Here is a 20,892-nt window from a genome sequence, read left to right on the forward strand (position 1 = left end):
TGAAGAGCTTTGCAGAAACTACAAAGTTTGTTTCCTGAAACAAAAGGCAGAGCAGGGTATCTTGGCTGTTATAGGGCTGAGATTTGGGTTCACTTGGAATTGAGCCATTCTTCACTCTTGAGATGCTTACTTAATGCAGATCAGCTCCCACTGTAGATGTTAGAGAGACCTGTAATTACAATGGAATATTTGGAAATTTTTCTAACAGATGCCTAGCCACATCCTCACATTTCTTGGTGTGTGCAGCACCACTGTGGGAAAGAGCTGGTAGCTTGAGTGAATTAATGGGACTCTTCTCCTTATATGTTAATTTGCAGAGGCTAGGGAGGGATGGAACCCACACATGGATTCCCAGCTTCCCAGTTGTGCTCCCAGGATATGATGCTGTTCTGCTTAAGACTCCTTTCAGAGCTCACGCCTGAAGGTCCAGACCTGTGATGGCTGAGCTGAGCTGAGCAGGGCAGGGCAGGGAGGGTAATCCACGTATTTGGCCTCATAGTTGAGATCCTGTGTCAGCAGCTGATGGTTCTGGGGTATGTTGCCTCTGATGACAAAGCTGGTGGAGGCAGGTGTGTTGGGGCCTTAAGACTACAGGGGCCTCCAGGGCAGGGGTGAAGCAGCTGCACCACTTGACCCAAGTTGCACCTGGTGGCGGTGTCAGGAAGGATGGAGCAGACCTGGTAGTTTCTGCTCCCCAAGGTCTGGCTAGCTCTCATTCACTGAAGGACACAAAGAAAATATTAATAGCTACTACAATAGTTTGTGTTTATATATAACTCCTTTAGGGAAATATTTCAAAGGTAATTAACATTACAATGAATCAATACAGCAAGGGATTGTGGAAAATGGGGTATAAGTGAATTGAATTATTGGAGTTGTATTATTCAATGTATTGCCATATTAAAAGGATGGGTTGATGATTTTTAAAATAGCTAATTTTTAAGTAGGAGTTTTAAAAATTACTCAAATGATGATCCATCATGTGTACAGTAAATAGACTTAAGTACATGACCAGTAGACCAAAAAGATGTGAATGCACATTAGTGATGTTAAAAAGTCCAAATTACCCATTTAGTTCCAGTAAAATAACATTACCTAGTACATTATATTAACTTGAATTTTATTGCTTTGTTTCTATTTCTATACTTTTAATTTTATAGTTTTGAGAATACGTTATATAGATTTTGTGTTTGTATGCCTTTGAGTAATGTGATAATAAAACAATTTAAGTCAAAATTGGGCTTCAAAGGGCATGATGTTTCACTTTTAACAGGGGACTCATTCTCAGCCCTCACGCTAGTGTCAGCCACGCATAGTGTCAGTGACACCTAGTGGTTCAAGCAAGAACTGCAACTTCATTGAATGGTGGACGATTTCAAAGAAAAACAGGTTCTCCCTTAGATAAGCCTCTGGATCCCTTTGATGAGGTGTTGAAATGAGGGCCTACCAGTCCCTGGTGTCTCCCATTTTGGCCTGTTCCACACTGACTCGTCAGCTATTTGAAGCAACTTTATGGAGGAGGGAATGACACTTCGTATACTAGGAACAGAATGTAGAAACTAATGATGACTTTTAGAGTGAGAAAGTTTTCAGGAAGACATTTCTAACAATTAGAGTGGTTCAACAATGTACACCACAAAAGCCACTAAGCCATGACTTTAGGATCACTTGGCAGCCTGCTGGGCTCATTCACTAGCTAAGCCATCTACATCACACCAACCTCACAGAACACACAATTCAATTTTTTTATATTTGTAAATTTATGAATTGCTACGTGCTACAGAACTTCAGGCAATTTATGAATGGTCAAATCCACTGATTACAGAATTCTAAAGGTCATCATGGTCTTTACAATGCTCTGTCCTCAGCAGCCTGTGCCTGACCCATTCCCATTACCATGCCTGCTTTCCCACCCAAGTTCAAGGCCATCCTGAAAAAGTTGCTTGCAGCATCATAGAGGCACCAACACCTCTGCATTCTCATAATTGTCTTTCTGAATCCTGGGATTGGGGACAGGGAGAGGAAGAGGGGAGAAGTGAAAATAAACCGAGCTTGCAGCACCTTCAGCACTAATCATGAGGTCTGCTGCTCTCTAACTGCTTCCCCACAGTTGTTTGGTGCCTATGGCCTCAGAATCATGTAGATCCTCTTATAAGATTATAGTTCCTATCAACTGTTCTATAAATAACAACTTGAAATGTTATGTTTTCCCTTTGAGATATCCCTTCAGGTCTTGCATACTGATGAAACTACTGACTCAGTGGGTCTGAATGATCCCAGGAGCTGCTGAATAATCAAAATATGCAGTTTCCAAATGCTGATTATTTCTCCCCCCTTACCCCAACCAATCAACACCACCAATTTTCTGGCCTCTCACCCTCCACTATATCCTTAAAAACCCCAGCCCAGAACTTCTCAGGGAGATGGATTTGAGGATCTTCTTCTATCTCCTCACTCAGTGCCCTGTGATCATTAAACGCTTTCTCTGCTGCAAACCCTGCTGACTTAGTGTAGGTACTATTAATATATTCATATTTCCATTTTAGAAAGATGTGAAACTACTTTTCATAAGTTGTCCAGGCACACCCAGTTAGAAAGTGACAGAACTGGGCATCTGTCTGCAGAGCCTGCACACTCAACTTCTGTTCTTAGAGTGTGTCTCTAGATGGTGGTCACAGTTATGACCCACAAACTTGTCATCATTCCTAGGCCACACAAAACCCTTCCAATCTTTGTAGGATATTAGACCCACCTGTGTCTCCAGACAGACCATCCCTGTCTTCAAATGGAATGCCTGGAATTTCATTCAATTATGCTCTGCAGTGTTGCCAGAGGTTCCCCAGATTGGCTCAAAAGTCAGCACACTCTCAGGCAAAAAGGTTGCAGTGTCACTTGATTCCAAGGAAACTCTTGTCAAGTTTAGGCAGGTCACACATGGGCAAGAAATCAAACATGAAGAGGATGGTCAGGTTCCCCAGCACAACATGCCCAGGGAGAGAGCACCTGCCACAAACAGCTCAGGTCCAGGGGAATCATAGCTGAGAATCAAAATGCAGAAATCATTTGCATCTGATCTTTCCCAATTCTGGAAAGCCTGGAATCCAGAGCCATCATGATCCCCTTAATTTATTAGGCTGCCTCCTTCATTTAATGAGAATTGTCTTGTTAACCCCATTCTCAGGTCTGTAGAACCATGACAGTTGTTGTTTTCAAATATCTTCTTTGAATACAGGTTCTTCTTATCTCAGGATCACCATAAATCTCCTCTTTGTAAACAGGACTTTGGTCACAGTCATACTTGGAATGAATATCTCATAACCTCTTAACTGCATTTTGCCCATGACCTTGCTAATTTTATCACATTTGTTTGAAACAACTTTATATTGCCATCGCTCTTCTTCCTGGCCTCTGTGGATTTTTCCTGAAGTCATCATAGTTGAAGGGCTTCACCCTTGTGAGGGTGTTTGTGTGTGCTATGCCTATGTTATCATTGAGTTTGCTCTGTAAATCTATGGCTCAAACTCCTATGTCTCCAACTGCACATATTGTGACACATTAAGTACAAGGCCACCTTTGACTCCTTCATCATCACAAAGGTGCAATTCTTTCCCTATCTGTTTGCAATCTGGAGCACATCTGTTCTTTTCTCTAGGGCAATGACTCTCAAACTCCAGGATGCATCAGAATCACCTGGAAGGCCTGCTGAACCACAGATTGCTGGGCCCCACCCATAGAAAAAAAATAACAGAGACGGGGGTGGGAGGGGATAGGACGAGAGGGGAGAAAAAAAAAGAAACAACTAGAGTTATCACATGTCATAGGGTCAGTGGTGAAATATGTACTTATTGTCTGTCAGTGGCAAAAGCTTTCAGGACTTCTGTCACTTCACTGCTAACAGTTCCTCCAGCCTCTGCTTGGTTAATTCCAGAGAAGGAGAAACCCTCTGCTTCCCAGGATGGCACCTTCAGCCTTGGGGAGCTGAAACAAGTCACATGCCATGTGGGGGCAGGAGTGACAACCAGGAAGTCAGAGTTACCTCTGACGACAACTCCTTCTCTTATGTCCCTTGGTTGTGAACCTCTTTTCCTACCATAGTCTCTGGCAGCCACTGATGTGTTTGCTGTCCCCATAGTTTTGTCTTGTAAGAGTGTCGTCAAAATGTAATCATGCAGTTTGCAGGTTTTTTTGAGAACAGCTTCTTTTGCTTGGCATAATGCATTTGAGAGTCATCTATGTGAGACAGCCAGGTGGGAGGGGGCTCCTCAGAAAAACTCCAACCAGCCTGCGCACTAGGGTGGAGCCACAGAAGTTTGTGCTCTTTCCAGTGGGGAGGAGTCAGGCCCCTCCTCTTCCTTTGTGGAACCTGGGATGTGAAGGGTGGGAAGGAAATGCTCCAGCAGGGACTCTGGCCTTCCAAGAGTTCTTCTTTGCCCCTTTTCTTTCTTTTTACCCAATGCAACCCTGTCTTACTCACCATTTAAATTGTCTGCAAGCCTGAATTTTCATGGCCATGGGACAAAGAACGCTGTTTTTAGCTGAACTAAGGAAAAGTTATGCAACATTTTTGGCGCACAACGTTGGGCCAGAAAAGCAGTGAGTGAAATGGGGACTCGAAACCTCTCAATGTTGCTCCTAAGCCTTTTCATCCTTGGACTTCTGAGGGTGGGGGAAAACATGCCCCCAACCCCCTTAGCTCCTGGGACTTTTCATGGCATTTCCCTTCCTTTTTCAGGACCTACTGGCGAGCAGCAGCTCCCTGCTGCTCTCCCCTCCCTGCCGGGGCTGGGATGCATGGCCCAAGGGTCCCGCACGGCCAGTTGGCTGGCATTTTCTACCATAAGCCGCTGGAGACTTCCCCTTCTCTGTCCAAGCGGTTCAGCTCCATTGGACAGTAATTAAGCTTTTCTCTTCGTGGGGAAACCACTTGCTTAAGAATAAGAGGTTCCTCCCAAGATTTTTAAACTATTCTCTCTTTTTCCCTCTTCTCTACCCTATCAGCAGTTAAGTTTTAAGCAAGTTTTTTTTTTGTTTTTTGTTTTGTTTTGTTTTGTTTTAGAAGACGTTTTACTAGGCTAAGTCCTCCAACTATCACTATCACTGTTTGTACTCTCCATAAAGTTTTGGTTGTGAAAAAGAATCTCATGGAGACTGGATTTTCTTCTGCCTGTGTGTGTATTGTGTGTCATGTCTGTAAAAAGAGCTCTAATTAATTTGTCCTAAAGAAAGACAAGTGCTTGAATCAAGTATTTTTTTAAGGGAAGTTAAAAGTTGTGGTACCTTTCAGTTCATGTGACTTTAATCTTTGAGAAATAAAAGCAGCCTTAAAGATTATTGGTAAAATGCTTGTGTCATTAAAATGTAAATAGGTGAACTAAATTATGCAGGTCAGATGCAAGGTTTGCTAAGTGTTTTGAGGTTACAAACTGCTCTTTGGATTTTGAGAACTGTCTGTCCTTCCTGCTTTACAACTGGTAGGGCCTAGGGACATATGGAACTAACCATGCCCTTAATTTAGAAGGCAAACCTTGGCTGCAGTTAGCACACAATTAAAGCAATTTACCAAGTTTTACCTTAAAGTTAAAAATGTCTAGGAGTTAATTGAAACTACTAGAAATAGATTTACATGCAAGGTGTGTAAGAACAGTAAAATTTGTTTTTTAGTAAAAGGTTATAAGAAGGCATGGAAATGTAAACTTTTGCCTAGGATTAAAGGATTGTTTTGAGTTAGATATGAAAAGCTGAAAGTTCATAGAAGTGGTGGAAGAATTGTGGAAATTAATCTTGCAGAAGAGTTCTCTGTGTGAACATACTAATTAAATTCAAAGGGGTTATAAAAAGTTTCTGCTTCTTTAAATTTCTAAGTCATCATTTTGGCAAAAAGTTTATGGTAATCTAGAACTTTATTCAAGTGTTTTAAACACATTTAACAGCCTTCCCAAAATCAAACTTAAGTTTCAAAATTGTCTTTCCTGACACCTAACTTTTCAGATGCTTCAGAGGGCCCCTGAAGTGTCCAGAAAAGACAGGTAAACAGGATTATTTGACATGTTTAGGTACATGGGGTTGCCAAAATGATGTTCAATTTTCTTTAGGTTATATCTTGGAGAATAATGCTAATATATGTTCCAAAATTGTGTGGAATTTCTAAAATTCTAATTTCTGAATTCTGAGTATATGCTATCAAACATAATTAAGGTTTTTTATATTAAGTTATTGTGAACCACGGAGATAACCAAACCTCTTTGTCAATTATGTTTCTAACTATAACTGCCCTGGACATTTTGCTATTCACAGATAATTGTTGTTTTGTTTTAATCCTTTAAAAGATGGCTTATAATGAACTATAGAATTTTAACGGGTACTCTCAAATACAGGCTTCTGATAACTTTAGAGATTATAATACTGGAATAAAGGAAAACGTACAGGATTCATGAAGAGCTGAAATGTTCATGAATGTCAAGCAAAACAAGAGTTAACTAAATGGACTGAACTTGGAAAGCTGAAGCAACCTTTTTGACTTTTGCTTAGAATATTGCTGGTCCTTGTTTTGTTTTTCAGAGTCAAGGAAACTTATTTTGAAATAGTTATAGCCTTTAGTAATTAAGTAAGGTGTGTCGATGAAAAGAGTCGAACTCTGTAAAATATTTTAAGAGATTTATTCTGAGCCAAATATGAGTAACCATGGCCTGTAACACAGCCCTCAGGAGGTCCTAAGAACATGTGCCTAAGGTGGTTGGGGTACAGCCTGGTTTTATATATTTTAGGGAGGCATGAGACATCAATGAAATACATTTAAGAAATACATTGGTTTGGTTCAGAAAGGCAGGACAACTCAAAGCAGGGGCTTCCAGGCTATAGGTAAATTTAAATATTTTCTGGTTGACAATTGGTTGAGTTTATCTGAAGACCTGGGATTAATGAAAAGGAATGTTCAGGTAAAGGTAAAGGATTGTGGAGACCAAGTTTTATTGTGCAGAGGAAACTCTCAGATAGCAGACTTTAGAGATAACAGGTTGTAAAATGTTTCTTATTGGACTTAAAAGGGTGCCTGGCTCTTAGTTGATTATCTCCTGGGTCTGGGAAGCAAGGAAAACAAAGAGGAAAGGGGATTTTCTATAGAATGTGGATTTTTCCCATAAGAGACTCTGCAGGTCAATTTCAAGGTATGGCAAGAAAATATACTTTGGGGTTAAACATTTCGATTTTCTTCCTTGTTATGCCAGAGTCAGATTGGAAAGTAAGTCATGATATACAGGGTTAAAATAAAGCCCATCTGATGAGAATTTATAGTTTGTAGGGCATGACTCATTAGACCCTTTGGGTAGGAATTTGGGCAAGATAAAGAATCAGAGCTTAGTCCTCAGGTATATACATGTTTGTTTCTCTCTGCCTGGTTCCTCTAGACTTTGGAAACTATCTGTGAGTATTCTTATGGCAATATAGTTTTTTTCATCAGTGCACGAAGAATCCGTTTTTCTTTTGCAACAGGACCCAATTAGAAAAAATGGTTATTCTACCAAGGGTTTGACTGGAAGGGCATACTTCCCTTTAAGGAGTCAAGCTTGACTTACAGAACCAATAAAAGCCTCATGGAAGTGTGGCCTCACACCCTCCCCTACACAGTCTCTGTACAAGGTTCCTGACCTGTGGTCAGTAAAGAATGTGACTTTCTAACAGGTCTAGGAGCTCCAAGTTTATCTTGGGATCTTAAAAGGAGAGGACCACTCAACTCACAGGTATTCGAGGATACAAACCCATGGCTGGGTTGGTTCAACTTTAAAAGGTCTTATCTGAGATGCCTTGTGGAACAGAATTCCATCAAGTCCAATCCAAAAGGCCTATGTAGAAATAATTATTCTTGTTGTACTTTATGGAAATAATCAGGCCAAGTATAAAACCAAAGTCTATTTTGCAAACCCTCAGTCCTATGATGATTTGTTTTTTAACAAACATGAGGACTACAGAGAGAGAAATTATATTTCAAAGCTTATCATATATTTGTCATTAAATTCTAAACACACTAGTTGTTTGTAAGTTTTTGCCTACATTTTAGGATAACCCTGCTTGTTCCTGTGAACCAACCAGCAATCTCCAGCTACAGCTCAGAAAGAACAAGAGGTATGGGTAATGTAGAAATCTGGATCGATATTCTAGTTCTGAGCAATTATCCTGCAAATCCCGCCAGGTGATGGGAATAAATAGGATGCCCATCACTTGAAGGTTTCTTTTTTGGGAAAGTAACACCAAGGGAGCTAACCAAAGCCAAGGACCATGCACCCAAATCCTAGCAAGCATAACTGAAGCCACCAGTTATCTGGGTGTGTCACAAGACATCCTTTTCTTTCCCTTGTTGGAGGAGGACTCAGTTCCACAGTTGCACCTTAGCATTTGGCTTATGATAAGGAGTCCATGCAACCCCCTGGGAAACATTTTTGTCCCAAACTCAATTCCAAGCTTCAGGTCAATGCTATAAGAAAGAGAACTGGGCCGGGCATGGTGGCTCACGCCTGTAATCCCAGCACTTTGGGAGGCCGAGGTGGGCGGATCACGAGGTCAGGAGATCGAGACCATCCTGGCTAACATGGTGAAACCCCATCTCTACTAAAAATACAAAAAATTAGCCAGGCTTGGTGGTGGGTGCCTGTAGTCCCAGCTACTCGGGAGGCTGAGGCAGGAGAATGGCGTGAACCTGGGAGGCAGAGCTTGAGGTGAGCCGAGATCTTGCCACTGCACTCCAGCCTGGGTGAGAGAGCAAGACTCTGTCTAAAAAAAAAAAAAAAAAAAAAAAAAAAGAAAAAAAAGAGAAAGAGAACTGGATCTAACAGATCCAGAGGCAGGCAGCTACAAAGGTTAAAAGGCACAGCGCAGGTGAGCGTGGCTAATTTCTGCTGATTAAGCCAACCCCGAGCTTGCTATTTCATGGATAAAGGCCACGTTAATGTCCATGGCATAAATGAGATCTAGGGAACTCCAAGGCTACCAACAGCAAGGGAGATACGGCATACATGGGTAAGAGTGGATGATTCCCACCCCTAAGGGCCCCCTGCTTCATGGGTGCAAAGCTCTTTTGCACTCACGCCAGACCTGCCTAAGTCGCCCGGACTTGGGGATGCAAGGACGGAAGAGGAAAGAGGACACTCTTCCTTCTCTCCGTCACATCCCCGGGTATCTGCTAGGAAGAGAAGGGAGCCAGGGATGTCTGCTCCCCTCTTTCTAGATGGGTAGCCATTCATCTTCAGTCTGTACCCCTTCCAAATGCATCCTGAACCTCTGGGACTCCTTTAACAGGTGCCTCTTTTTTTCCTTTCTCCTTCTCTGTCCTCTCTTCACTAATAGGTAATTGTGTCTCTGTACTACAAGACACTCCCTTCAGATGCATCCTACAAACTGGAAGGAGTTAATTTCCCAAACCTTAAAATGGCTGCCATAGGATTGGGCTCAGGGGAAGAGAACCCAGAAGCCCAACATGCTGGCAAAAGGGTAAAGTATTTTAACCAGTTGGGCTTTTGGCCTCCCTCTTCCTGTGCAAACTGGTAAAAGGCCTCAGAATTTTTGAGCTGTCCTTAACCCTCCCCTTGTTTCATTTGGATACATGTTTTCTAATAACATAGTTTGTCTCTTCTTGCCTTCAGGCCATCAAACTCCAAATAGTCATGCAGCTGGAGCCTCTGACAATGTCCCCTTCTGCTGGGAAACCTTAAATAGACCTTTGAGGGAGCTCGGACTGTTGTTTCCCCAAAACAGCATCCCCTGTCAGCAGGAAGCAGTTAAAATGGGTCTTCGTCCTTATCCTTAATCTAACAAAAGTTTGATGTACTTCTTTAGAAAGGGGAACGAGACAGCCAGGCGGGAGAGGGCTCCCCGGAAAAACTCCAACCAGCCTGCACAATGGGGTGGAGCCACAGAAGTTCACACCCTTTGTGGGGAGGAGTTGGGCCCCTCCTCTTCCTGTGTGGAACCTGGGATTCCAAGGCAGGCGGGAAGTGCTCTAGCAGGGACTCTGGCATTGCAAGAGTCCCTGTTTGCTCCTTTTCTTCCTCTTTACCCAAAAAAACTTGTCTTACTCACCATTAAAATTGTCTGTGAGCCTGAATTTTCATGACCGTGGGACAAAGAACCCCATTTTTAGCTGAAAGAAGAAAAAGTCCTGCAACGCATGTTCTTGTGTGTTTCTGGAGTTTGTTCATTTTTTTAGTTGCTGAATAGGATTCCATTGTATAGAATTTGTCCAATTTGTTTATCCATTTCCCTATTAAGGGGTATTTGGGTTGTTTCTAGTTTTGGGTGACTATAAACAAAACTACTAAAAATATACTGTATAGGTTCTTCTGTAAATCTCAGCTTTCATTTCATTTGGGTAAAACCTAGGGGGGATTTTCTGGGTTGTACAGCAAGTGTATGCTTAACTTTATAGGAAATTGCCAAACTGAGAAGCAGTTTCTAAAATGTTTATGAATATTTTAGTCTTCAGAGCTGTGCAGGGTGGGCACTGCTATTATTCCACTCCCAGGTGCTCAGCTCTCCTGGTCTGAGCAGCTTGCTGCAGTCACAAAGTTGGCACGTGGTGGATCTAGGGAAGGTGGGCTCAGGCACTCTCACTTGATGCAAGTACTGCTCTCTGCTTCAGTTTCTGTTTTCTCACTGGCTTCCTTTGCTTTCTCACAGTCTCTGCCCTCCTAACGCAGGCTGGCCCAGCCCAGCCTTCTGTGAACCTCCTCCATCGGGACATTTTCCCCGTGGTGGTGCCATCTGGGGCTGCCCATGCCCTGAGAACTGCAGCTGTGTGCCGAATGCCGGCTCTGCTGCTGGCAAGCCACTGGCCTCCAGCTGCTGCCTCCCTTTGCCCCATTCCCTGTCAGGGTCCAAAAGAGACAGAACAGTCAGCTCTCCTGGCTACTCTGCTCAGAGCCCCGCACAGCCCAGGGACCTAGTGACACCTATTGGCCATTTGTTAGAACTGTGGCTGCACTTGAGTTCAATGTGCAACAAGAAGGCTCTGACGCAGCTTCACATTAAATAGGCACATACGTGGCAAAAGGATACGTGCTCATGTTTAAAAATTCAAACAGCTGGTACAGACATACAATAAAAAGTAAAGTTTCTCCTCCCTGTAGCTCGGTTTACTCCTGTGATTAGCGTTTTCTGTTTTTAGTTATCTGGTCAGCACACAAACATAAATAACATGATAATACATGGAAATCCTTGATTTATCCACTTTAGATAGTGTGTTAGTCCATTCTCTCTTGCTATAAAGACATGTTTGAGACTGGATAATTTATAAAGAAAAGAGGTTTAATAGCTCACGGTTCTGCAGGCTGCACAGGAGGCATGACGCTGGCATCTGCTCAGCTTCTGGGAGGCTTCCGGAAACTTACCATCATGACCGAAGGCAACCTGGGAGCAGGTGCATCACATGGCCATAGTGGGAGCAAGAGAGAGAGGGAGAGTGCAGGGGTAGGGGCCACACACTTGTAAACAACCAGATCTCACAGTAACTCACTATTGTGAGGACATTACCAAGGGGGATGGTGCTAAACCATTCATGAGAAATCTGCCCCGGAGATCCAATCACCTCCCACTGCGCCCCACCTCCGACACTGGGGATTACATTTTAAAATGAGATTTGGGCAAGAACACACATCCAAACTATACTAGATGGTGTCTATTACCTACATTGTAGGAAAGATGAAGAATTTAGGGCATTATAGGGCTTTCCTGTCTTCCTGTCCCCTTTACTTCCTGGTTTCAATCTGTAATATGACTAGGTTTTTCTAATGGCTAGATTTATGCTTTAAAAAAAAGGACCTAAATTTCAATTTCTTTCTTTTTCTTTTTTTTCCCTTTTTTTTTTTTTTTTTTTTTTTTTTCTTGAGACGGAGTCTCACTCTCTCGCCTAGGCTGGAGTGCAGTGGAGAAATTTCGGCTCAATGCAACCTCCACCCCCCGGGTTCAAGCAATTCTCCTGCCTCAGCCTCCTGAGTAGCTGGGATTACAGGCGCATGCCACCATGCCTGGCTAATTTTTGTATTTTTATTAGTGACGGGGTTGTACCATGTTGACCAGGCTGGTCTCAAACTCCTGGCTCAAATGATTCACCGGCCTTGTGAATCAATCCCAAAGTGCTGGGATTACAGCTGTGAGTCACTGCACCCAGCCAAATCTCAATTTTTTGATGTATTATTTTTAGAAAAAGTCTATATTGATTCTCCACTACACACACACACATACACAAAGTTAGTGCATGTAGACTTTCCTCTGCTTTCCACCTCCAGAGTTCTGTGAGCCATAATATCACTTTTGTGTTGCACGTGTTTATAGAATTTGAATACTGAAGTAGCCATAATTAAGTGTTCTGTGCTTGAAGTTGATTCTAAAAATTGAAAACCCTTAAACAGTATTTAAGGCATTATTATTATGTAAACACGAGTCACTGCAGAACCAAGTACTGTGATTAGGCCCACGGAAAAGGAAATAAAATACTATGTAATTAAACCTTGGGCACTCAAAGGAGAATGTTCTATGAATAAAGGTCTCTTTTCTCCACTCCATTAATTATCCAGTTACCCACACTTCAGTTACTTCAAATTTGAACCACGACTTTCTTAGACTGTCTTGTTTTCCCTGGATTTCTAATTGTCATTCTATTTGCTGTAATTTTTATTGAAGAATAACATATCTCATCTGATTGTTTAGAATTGACTTAGACCTGCTTAGAATCTTTATTCTGTGTTCTTATTTCTATAATTTCTGGAGTGGAAGTGACTTCCTCTGGTGGAAGTGGAGCAATCTTCCCCAAGTCCTCTGACTTTTTGGATGCATTGTTTTCTGGGGCAGCTGTGTAGCTGTCAGCTTAGAATTTTTTCTGGGACACCTGAGTACTACATTCTCATGGATCTTGTGACATTTTCTTTCTTAGATTTTATTTTTATTGCTAAAGTTTAGATTTGCTGGAACATGTGCTACATCAGTATAACATGGTGATTAAGAGTGGGCCTTCTGAGTTTGAAACTGCTTCATATTAGTCCTGTGGCCTTGGATAACTGGATCTCAGCACTGTGGCATCTTCATCTGTAAAACGGGCACAATGCAGCTCTCTTATAAGTTATTTTGAGATGGAGTGAGACAATATATGTAGTACTGTTAGGACAATGACCAATAAATGATAAATCTAATATTTTGGTGGATTTTGCAAGCGAGAGGAGTAATGGGGTGTGTGCTCATTTGGCCATCCTGAATTGGCAGACAAGACATATTTCTGAAGTAGTCAAGAAGGCCCACCTCGTCACTATGCACATCCTCAATGCCCTCATGCCATCCTCGATGCCAATGACTGGCATGTACGTCTCCAGAGCTCCCTCCTGAATCCAGTCTTCTGTCACTGACTGTGTCCTTGACATCTCCACCTGCATGTCCATTGCTCAAAACCAAACTTCTGATCCTCTCCCCTAACTTGTTCCACTTACAGTGTTCTCCACCTCAGGATGGAGCTGCCATCTTTCTAGAATCTCAGGCCAAGTATTTTGGAATCATGTTGATTCTTTTCTTTCTCTTGAATCTTCATTTCATCCATCAGAAAATTCTGGATACTTTAGCTTCAAGATATGCCCAGTATTCCATCACTTCTGACCCCACCACCATCACCCCATCTCAACTGTCATAATCTCTCACCTGGATGGTGTAGTGGTCTCCTAACTGGCCCCCCTGCCTCCACGTGGCTCTCTGCTGTCTAGCCCCAAACTTGTTGGGTGTGATCCTATTTTATGTCCTCTTCTTGGGGCACTCCTCCCTCTGACTCCTGTATGCTGTCCAAATGGCCATGGAACATTTCATGCCTTTGTTCAGATCACCGTCTCTGTGAGGACTTCCTCGACCACTCTTTATTGTTGCAGCCTCCTCTGGGCATCCTAACCCTCCTATTTGGCTCTATTTCTTCTTTTTCATGGCGCATGCCACCTTCTAAATCATGACATAAGTTACATACTTATCATGTTTAGCGTTCCCTGTCTGTTTCCCCTGCTAGAATGTCAGCTCCTTGAGGGCAGAATTTTTTTTATTTGCCTTGTTTACCAGTGTATTCCAAGTACTTAGTACAGCAAGCACCTGGCTCAGTTGTAGGTACAGAATATGAATACATATGAATAAGAATTCTCAGTTGTAGGCAAAACTGAGGATGTGCATAGTGGCAAGGTGGGTCTTCTTGATGACTTCTCAACAATTCTCAGTTGTAGGCACTGAATATGAATTCATACTAAATAAGAACACATACTCAGTGAAGGAATTTGCAAATGATAGTGAGGAGCGTGGAGGAGCTCCCACACTGCCTTGCCCCACAGTTTAGCTATTGAAGGTGACATCTGAAGGAGGCAGTTTGGCTAATAAGTACAGGGGGCAGACTCTCCTTAAGGGTAAGAGTGACAGGGAGGTCACTTTCAGAGTGCAAGAAGGGTGACAGGAAACATGAGCATGAGCAGGGCCTGAGGGTCTCAAGGGCCCCTTCTAGCTCTAACCTTCAGTGATTTCAGGCCAGGTGAGGTGCTGAGCTCCCTGGCCCCAGAAGCATTCCAGCATAGGCTGGCTGATGTCTCAGCAGGGATGCTGTGGAGGGGCCCAAGCATGAGAAAAGTACAAGAAGTGGATGCCCTCAAGGCCTTCTCTAGTAATAAGACTTGAAAATTAAACAACTCACCCCTCCCTGACCACTCTCACACCCCAAAGCCTGAGGCCTGGAGTCCCTGGGCCAGCTGGGGAGGGTCCTCCTGAGCTATTGCCTCACCCTCCCTACGCCCCTGTTACCCCATGGTTATGGCCACAGCACCTCCTCCTTCTTCCCTTCCCACGCAGAGCTCATTCTATTTTTGGTGAGGCCAGGTGACAGTGACCCTGACAAAGAGCACTGCTTGGTCAGATGGAAGGAAGGCAAGTGAGGGGCACCTGCCTCTAAGCCTTATTCTCCCATGTCTTCCCCCAGCTCTCCTCCATCCACCAACATGGCCACAAGGCCGCCTCTGGACCAGATCTATCCATCGGGTTTGCTCTGTGGTGCCCCACTTGGAGACACAGGTGGACATGGTGTTCAGAGGTGTGGGACAAACACATAAGATGGACGAGAGCAATGGTGGAGAGATGGGAAGGGAGGCTGAGGCCGGGCGTGGAGGACACGTCCCTGAGGCACCCAGCAGCCTGAACACTCTCATTTTGTCTCTTTTCATCAGAGTCCTTAATCTCTTAAACTGCCTGATGCCAAGAAATGTAGAGCTGCAGGATATGCTGGGCCCCACCCACGAAATTTGTATTTATTCACAGCCTTCTTATAAGCAAATATGTTCTTTTGTCAATAAGCCACCCGGAAGAGTGTCTCTGGGGACATCACCCCTTTGCTTTTATTTCTCTGGAAAATAATTAAAGAACATTCACATCAGAAAGATTTTATGAATTTATGTAATCCCTGAAATGTTGAGTTTATGCATTCCCACACCTCCCATCTAATTATCCCATTCCCCTCACATTAAAAAGAAGACCAGATTATTTTCCATCATTTTCTTCTGAAGTATGCTTTTTGTTTTTTGTTTTTTGAGACGGAGTCTCGCCCTGTCACCCAGGCTGGAGTGCAGTGGCGCAATCTCAGCTCACTGCAAGCTCTGCCTCTGGGTTCACGGCATTCTCCTGCCTCAGCCTCCCGAGTATCTGGGACTACAGGCGCCCGCCACCACGCCTGGCTAAGTTTTTATATTTTTAGTAGAGATGGGGTTTCACCGTGTTAGCCAGGATGGTCTCGATATCCTGACCTCATGATCCACCCGCCTCGGCCTCCCAAAGTGCTGGGATTGCAGGCGTGAGCCACCGCGCCTGGCCCTGAAGTATGTTTTTGCAATTCAGCAGCTGCTCCACTGTAATGATGGGGGAGGGACCAAGAAAGGCAAACAGAAAGCAATGCAAACTTGGTAACAAACACAGGCACCTCCCCACCTGCTTCCGTGAACATCTGCATAGCGTTCTCAAACCTTACCTCCTTCCATATGTAATTCAGTCAAGCAGCTGTTATTTCTTTTCCAGTTTTATAGATGAGGTAACCAGAGCTCAGAGAGGTTAAACAGCAACGGGTAGTGGCCTGTACAGGAGCCAGGCCTTCCGGCTCCAAGTCTCGTGTGCTCTCTTCCTGCTTCACAAATGCCTCTCCCCAAATAGGACTCTGTGGCCCACGATACTCACTGAGGACATTTGGTGAAGTGACTAAGCATGGACTCCAGGGATGCACAGTTCTAGCTCTGACTTACTATTGTGTGGTCTTAGTCTAAACTAATTTCTTTAAGTCTCAGTTACCTCATCTGTAAAATAGGGATGTGGCAGGCCAATTCTCCCTGATAGTCACACAGACAGGCCTGCATGACAGTCACACAGACAGGCCTGCATAGCACCCCAGCTACACAGACAAATTTCCACAGCACTGCCTTAACATTGAGCAAATAGTTAAACCTAGAGAAATCGGTGCCCAGACATCAAAGCTGGAAATGAAACATATGGTCAGTAGGAGCCTTGCATGGGCTTCTCCCTAACCTGGAGCAAGCCAAAATAATAGAGACAGTCATAGATTCCTAGTGCCAGGACCTGTCTCTGGTCAATGAAATCTGAGACGAGTCAAGGTAACAGAGGCAGCTGTTTGAATAGATTCATTGGAGAGTCTAAGACAGCTCTCCGGACCAAGCCATAAAGGAGATAAGAGAGAAATAATCACTCCAGTACCACAGTAGACAGGCCTTGAAGGTATTGGAGGCCTTTTAATTGGACTTAGCAAGCTTTTTTTTTGCCTCTGACCTTCTAGTTGAAACAAAATTAGTTACCAATAGACTTAGGTGAATGCTATACTGCACAGAGGCACATAATCCCAACCTATATAAGCACTGAGAAAACTGTAACACTTTGAGTTGGACTGATAGAATTATCTCTGACCTTCTCACTGTATCTGGTTACAGCAATAAGTTCCCTTCTTTCCTAGTTTGTCTGCTTCTCATTATTGGGCCTTGAGAAAACACAGCTGAACTCAGCTTGGTTCCAGGAACAGGGACAGTAATGAATAAGTATTGCATAGGCCTGTTATGCACCCTAAATAAGATAATTTATGCAAAAAGCTTAGCATAAGGTATGACACATTAATTCCTAATAAGTAGTAGTTATTCTTATGGCAAGCTCTCTGTTGAGTGGGCAGTATTAATCAGAGGAGATTGGAAGAGGGCAAAGACAATAAAGTTGGTTAGTTGAGGTAAAATTAGGAGACATGAAACAGGTCAGCTAGATGTCAAAGAGACAGGTGGACTTTGAGAAGTGACAAAAGACAAAACAAAAAGAGGAAGTGGGCATAATCTTAGAATATTTCTTTTAACCACAAATGTGAGGGAAGCCGGGCCTCTCTTCTCTTTGAGGAGACCCTAAAAGTAACAGCTCAGAGATCTGAACCAACTGAGAAACAATCCCCAAAAATGTGTGCAGCCAAGAGACCACCTTTGTGATTGTGATGATTAAGTTTATGTGTCAACTTGACTGGGCCACAGAGTGTCCAGACATTTGGTCAAACATGATTCTGAGTGTTTTGTGAGGGTCTCTCTGGGTGAGATGAACATGTGAATAATTAGACTAAATAGAGCAGATTGCCCTGCCTAATGTGGGTGGGGACCATCCAGTCTGTTGAAGGCCTGAATAAAACAAAAGGGCTGATTCTTCTTCTAGTAAGGGGGAACTCTTCCTGCCTTGGGCTGGGACATTAGTTTTTCAGCCTTCAGACTCAAACTGAAAAATGGCTCTTCTTGGGTCTTGAGCTTGCTGGCATTTGGACTGAAAGAAACTGTACTATTGGCTCTCCAGCTTGCTGACTGCAGATCTTAGGATATGTCAACCTCTACAGTCACAAGAGCCATACTGCTCTCCTAATATGTGGGGCTGTCCCCTCAAAGAAACATTCTGCCTCTGTGGAGCCTCCTGAGACCACTGCTGGGCAGTTGAGATTTTGTCCCTCAAGAACTCGAGTCCACTCCAGGCCACACTATACTCGAGGCTGAGGTTTGCTCTTTGTTTGCCCATTCTAAATTATAGATAGACCCGTTTCACTGGGTCTGTCCTATCCCAGGCTAAAGCATGGGGGAATTTCTTCACTTTCTCCTTCCTCTTCACTCAAGACCAGCACAAGGTTGCAAACTAGAAAAATGTATCTGTTCTAAAGACGGAAGCCTTCCCTCTCATGGAAGTCCAGCCTCGAGAGCAGACGCTTAGCCTGCCCATTTGGTTCTCGCACCCTTGTTAATCATTGTGTTTGTCAGTGTTCTCTAGAGAAACAGAACCAACAGGATGTGTGTGCTTGTGTGTGTGTGGTTTTTTTGTGTGTACTCACATGCACCCATGAGGTAAGCACACAGATATACACCTATCTGTGTACACAAATGCATATACATTTATACACACACATACACATGCACACATACAGAAAGATTGGTTTATTAGAATGAATTAGCTCTTGTGACTGTAGAGGCTGACATATCTCAAGATCTGCAGTCAGCAAGCTGGAGATCCAGGAGATCCAATAGCATAGTTTCTTTCAGTCCATATGCCAGCAAGCTCAAGACCCAAGAAGAGCCATTTTTCAGTTTGCGTCTGAAAGCAGAAAAACTTATGTCCCAGCCCAAAGCAGGAGTTCCCCCTTACTTGAGGAAGAATAAGCCCTTTTGTTACATTCAGGCCTTCAACAGACTGGACGGGGTCCACCCACATTAGGGTGGAGTTTGTTCTGCCACTGTGCAGTTATCATTCTGGGATGGGGGTACCTTACTCTCCCAATGAGAAATTCTAAATTTCCTCTTTTGAGCCTGGTGCCTCCACCTTCTCAGAACTGCATAGGGCGTGAGCTTTGTTGGTGATGTGACCTCCAGAACAGACTGTGAGCAGATTTTTTTCTTTAATCCTGAGCCTATGCTTGCTGCTGTCCTTCTTGACTTTCAACTAGGCCTAAAAAAGCGGCCTCGGTGGGAATGCATTTCTCTTGCTCCACGTCTATTTTAGTTGCATATCTGTAGTGATGACAAATGCCTCCAGCCTTGTCCTCTGCAAGGCTGCACTGGGCTGCATACAGGCTCCTGTCTCAGGTGTCTGGTTTCCTCCTTGAAAGGTTGGGGCAGCAGAGCCAGCCCTGTCTATCTGGGCAAGGCCCTGACACTTGGAAGCATGAAAAGCCATGGTTCAGGTGGAGTGAGCTTCCAATGCCCTTGGAAGGATTTTATTTCAGGGCCGTGGGGCTTAAAAGTCATCACTGTACAATCCACTGGGAGCAAAGATCAAGATAAGATGTGATGGATATCATAAAAGCGGAACAGAACATCCCATTGCTCAGAGATGGGAGAACAACTCTGAATGGAGAGGGCTCAGGTTATATACATTCACCCTTTTCATGGGAAAGTGTGAGGCCTGAGGTGGGGAAACAAAGATAGTGGCAGCTACTTTCCGCTTCCCAGGGTGGCTGATGAAAGCCAACATGTCACAGAGAAGAAGCTCTCTCAGCAACAGCAGCTGGTGGTGCTGTGGCCAAAGGCTGGCCAGGGAGCAGCACGATCCGTGTGAACCGAGTTGGGCCCTGGGCAGCCAGAGCCACACATTCCCTCTCCATGGGCCTCTGCTGAGACCTATAGGGCTTCACATGCATGCAGTGCAGTCCCAGGGCCAGCAGCATCAGCATCCCCTGGGAACATGTTAGAATGGCAGTCTCAGGCTCTACGCAGACCCACTGAATCAGTATCTGTATTTTCACAGGATCCTCAGGTGATCCACAAGCACATGAAAGTGTGAGAAGCCCTTCCTCTTGCTGAACAGTTTCCTCATCCAAGCTCCTTCTCTTCCATTGTTTCTTAGGGAAGCCAGAATACCTCCCGGATTTCCTAGGGAGTGCACTGGATTTTATGCCAGTTTGATTACCCACAGTTTTCTTCCTCATTCATTCATTCATTCAGTCAGTCAGTCAAATAGTAATTGAGCACCTCCTGTGTTCCAGTATGTGTTCTGTCTGCACCCCTGGTCCTCCTGGCCTTGACTTGCTGGGTTACTTCTGTTAGGATGGGAAGAACTTGGGACTTGGTGTATGAAAGCCACTTACTTGGGCAGGTAGACACTGACACATGAGCAGGAGAGAAGTTACCTTGGTGTCAAGTGCCGACCTTAGAGTTTGAGACAGGTGGAGGAGTGTGAAATGCAGCCCCCGTGGGGAGACCCATCACATGTCCCATGTGCACAGGCTGTGTGCTGTCCCATTTGGCAGCACACTGCAGTAGCCCCACCAGGCTGATGACAATTGAGAAATGCATCCACCCAAAGCAGGAACTCTGTGTCGGAGTTTAGGAGCACCTGAGCTGTTAGGCCAGCCCGGCATCTCCTGAAGGCCCACTCTCCCTTTGTGTGGTAAGACCCCCTCTGTGGGGGTGTGATGAGAGCAGTACTCAGAACAGCAACCACAGCTGAAGCCCACTAAGGAATCCAGGAGATGTGCTGGGCCCTGGAGTGGGAGCACCTTGCCACTGGATTAAAAAACCTGCCAGTCAGGGCTTTAACTGGGAAACAGGTGACAGTCCAGCAGGGCCCTGCATTCTGGTCAGACTGAGAATGAGGACATGTGAAACAAAGGCCAGTAGATATGGTCTGGGGCAGCCTAAATCTTCCCACTTCAATGCTGCTTCTCCCCCAAGGGGAACTTTGGGGTGCAGAGGCTGAAACAGCAGTTGGAGAGACGTGTGGACTCATCTGTGAGGAGCTGAGGAAGCCAAGAACAGGGATCCGGAAACCGGGGTTGACGCCACCTTAACTTCAGAGTAGATGATAGGGGAACCCTAGGAGGCAAGAGCACATGCGTGAGGACCAGGGTGG

The 20,892-nt window shown here is 44.2% G+C and overlaps 1 protein-coding gene across 5 annotated transcripts in view, besides 1 other annotated feature; it reads right to left on the reverse strand.

Moving 5' to 3' along the window:
- Positions 10,649 to 10,888: an enhancer, noted in NCBI's record as "active region_1890". NCBI's record gives its function as "activates an Ori minimal core promoter by ATAC-STARR-seq in GM12878 lymphoblastoid cells {active_cell/tissue: GM12878}" and the evidence as "EXISTENCE:reporter gene assay evidence [ECO:0000049][PMID:35858748]".
- FCRL5 (Fc receptor like 5) overlaps positions 18,468 to 20,892 on the reverse strand; it is a 39,139-nt gene continuing 36,714 nt past the window's right edge. For all 5 annotated transcript variants that reach the window (XM_011510030.3, XM_011510032.3, XM_011510031.3 and 2 more), the window contains one exon: positions 18,468 to 20,855. In XM_011510030.3, coding sequence (XP_011508332.1) covers positions 20,766 to 20,855 — 90 coding nt within the window. In that variant the 3' untranslated portion in view covers positions 18,468 to 20,765. The remainder of the gene's footprint in view (positions 20,856 to 20,892) is intronic.

The sequence above is a fragment of the Homo sapiens genome, chromosome 1 (assembly GCF_000001405.40).
Source record: "Homo sapiens chromosome 1, GRCh38.p14 Primary Assembly".
Taxonomy (NCBI): Eukaryota; Metazoa; Chordata; class Mammalia; order Primates; family Hominidae; genus Homo; species Homo sapiens.